This window comes from Homo sapiens, chromosome 2 (genome assembly GCF_000001405.40).
Source record: "Homo sapiens chromosome 2, GRCh38.p14 Primary Assembly".
Classification (NCBI taxonomy): domain Eukaryota; kingdom Metazoa; phylum Chordata; class Mammalia; order Primates; family Hominidae; genus Homo; species Homo sapiens.
Window position 1 is genome coordinate 204026963 of NC_000002.12, and position 1711 is coordinate 204028673.

A 1711-nucleotide genomic window follows, 5' to 3' on the forward strand; every position below is an offset into this window, starting at 1 on the left:
CTTTTAATAGGAAAGAAAAAATTTTGAACCAAATATGACCAGGACAATTAAATCTGGTTAAAATTTGGTAGAATGGCACATGCCAATGGTTGCTCCTTTGCTCTTTTTCCTGAGAAAAAGATATAGAGTGGGGCCTCTAGGTGAGATGGTAGACACCTGATGGAAGAATGGCAGAATGAGGAGAAAGCTGCACATTTTAGGTTTTGCCGAGTCTATCCTGCTTATCTCTGTTCCCATGGGGACATGTATAGACGTGTTTCATATTTAGAGCAGCTGGGCTGAACTACGTCTCAGCAGGTGTTTCCTGTGAAAGGCTTTTCAGATTATGATGATCAAATCATATGCACAGTGTGGTAAAATTCATGGGTGACTCATGGATGCCACAAAATAATTGTCATATCATGTTTATTTAAAGGTCTTGAAAGGGCTTAGAGGTCACATTCATTGTGGTTATTACAGAAGATTTTTCAAATGACATCCATCAGGTGATGAAAAGAAAATCCTACCAAGTCATATTTTAAGTCCAGAAAAGAAATTTTAAACAACTGGATCTTCTGGGCAACATTTTTTGTTTGTTTGTTTGTTTATCTGTTTCTTTTTGAGATGGAGTCTCACTCTGTCATCCAGGCTGGAGTGCAGTGGCACAATCTCGGCTCACTGCAGCCTCCACCTCCTGGGTTCAAGCGATTCTCCTGCCTCAGTTTTCCAAGTAGCTGGGACTGCAGGCATGCACCACCACACCTGACTAACTTTTGTATTTTTAGTAGAGACGGGGTTTCACCATGTCAGTCCCGCTGGTCTCGAACTCCTTGCCTCAAGTGATCCGCCTGCCTTGGCCTCCCAAACTGCTGGGGTTATAGGCGTGAGTCACCATGACCAGCCTAGGCATAGATTTATTGCATAGATTCAGTGATCCCTCCTGATCCAGCACCTTCTTCTACCTTTGGGAAAATGGAGGCCTAGGGAGAGAAAGGGATTTGTCCAAAAGTAGCACAGATTATTACAAGGAAAGCCAGGACTCAGACCCAGGTCTACTGAGCCTAATGCTTCTTCCACTCCACTGTGCTGCAAAATTGTCACAGCTGTCTTAAATTTAGCTATCTTCTAACATTCTTTAGAGTACCATAGTGATGATGGCCTTTGGATTTTTTTCAAGCAAAGGCAACATATAAAAAGAAAATGAAAATAAGAAAATTTGTCTATTAATTCATCATATGCTTATTGTGAGCCAATTTTATACCAGATACTACACCCAGTGCTGAGTTATTATTTGAACTTCTGATCCAAAGACACATAATGCACTCTTGAAGACTGCAATCTCGAATTTTGGTCAACATTCTTGCCTTTTTTTTTTTTTTGAGACAGAATCTTGCTCTGTTGCCCAGGTTGGAGTGCAGTGGCACAGTCTCAGCTCACTGCAACTTCCACCTCCTGGGTTCAAGCGATTCTCATGCCTCAGCCTCATGAGTAAGCTGGGATTACATATGTGCACCACCAAACCTAGCTAATTTTTGCATTTTTAGTAGAGACACAGTTTTGCCATGTTGGCCAGGCTGGTCTCAAACTCTTGGCCTCAAGTGATCCACCTGCCTTGGCCTCCCAAAGTGCTGAGATTACAGGCATGAGCCACCACACCAGGCCAGCATTTTTGCTTTCAACATTATTTTTTAACTCAACAAAATATTTTCTACAGGTTCTGTTGCTCTCCAGT

General features: G+C 42.1%; 1 annotated feature.

Moving 5' to 3' along the window:
* Positions 400-459: an enhancer, noted in NCBI's record as "active region_17017". NCBI's record gives its function as "activates an Ori minimal core promoter by ATAC-STARR-seq in GM12878 lymphoblastoid cells {active_cell/tissue: GM12878}" and the evidence as "EXISTENCE:reporter gene assay evidence [ECO:0000049][PMID:35858748]".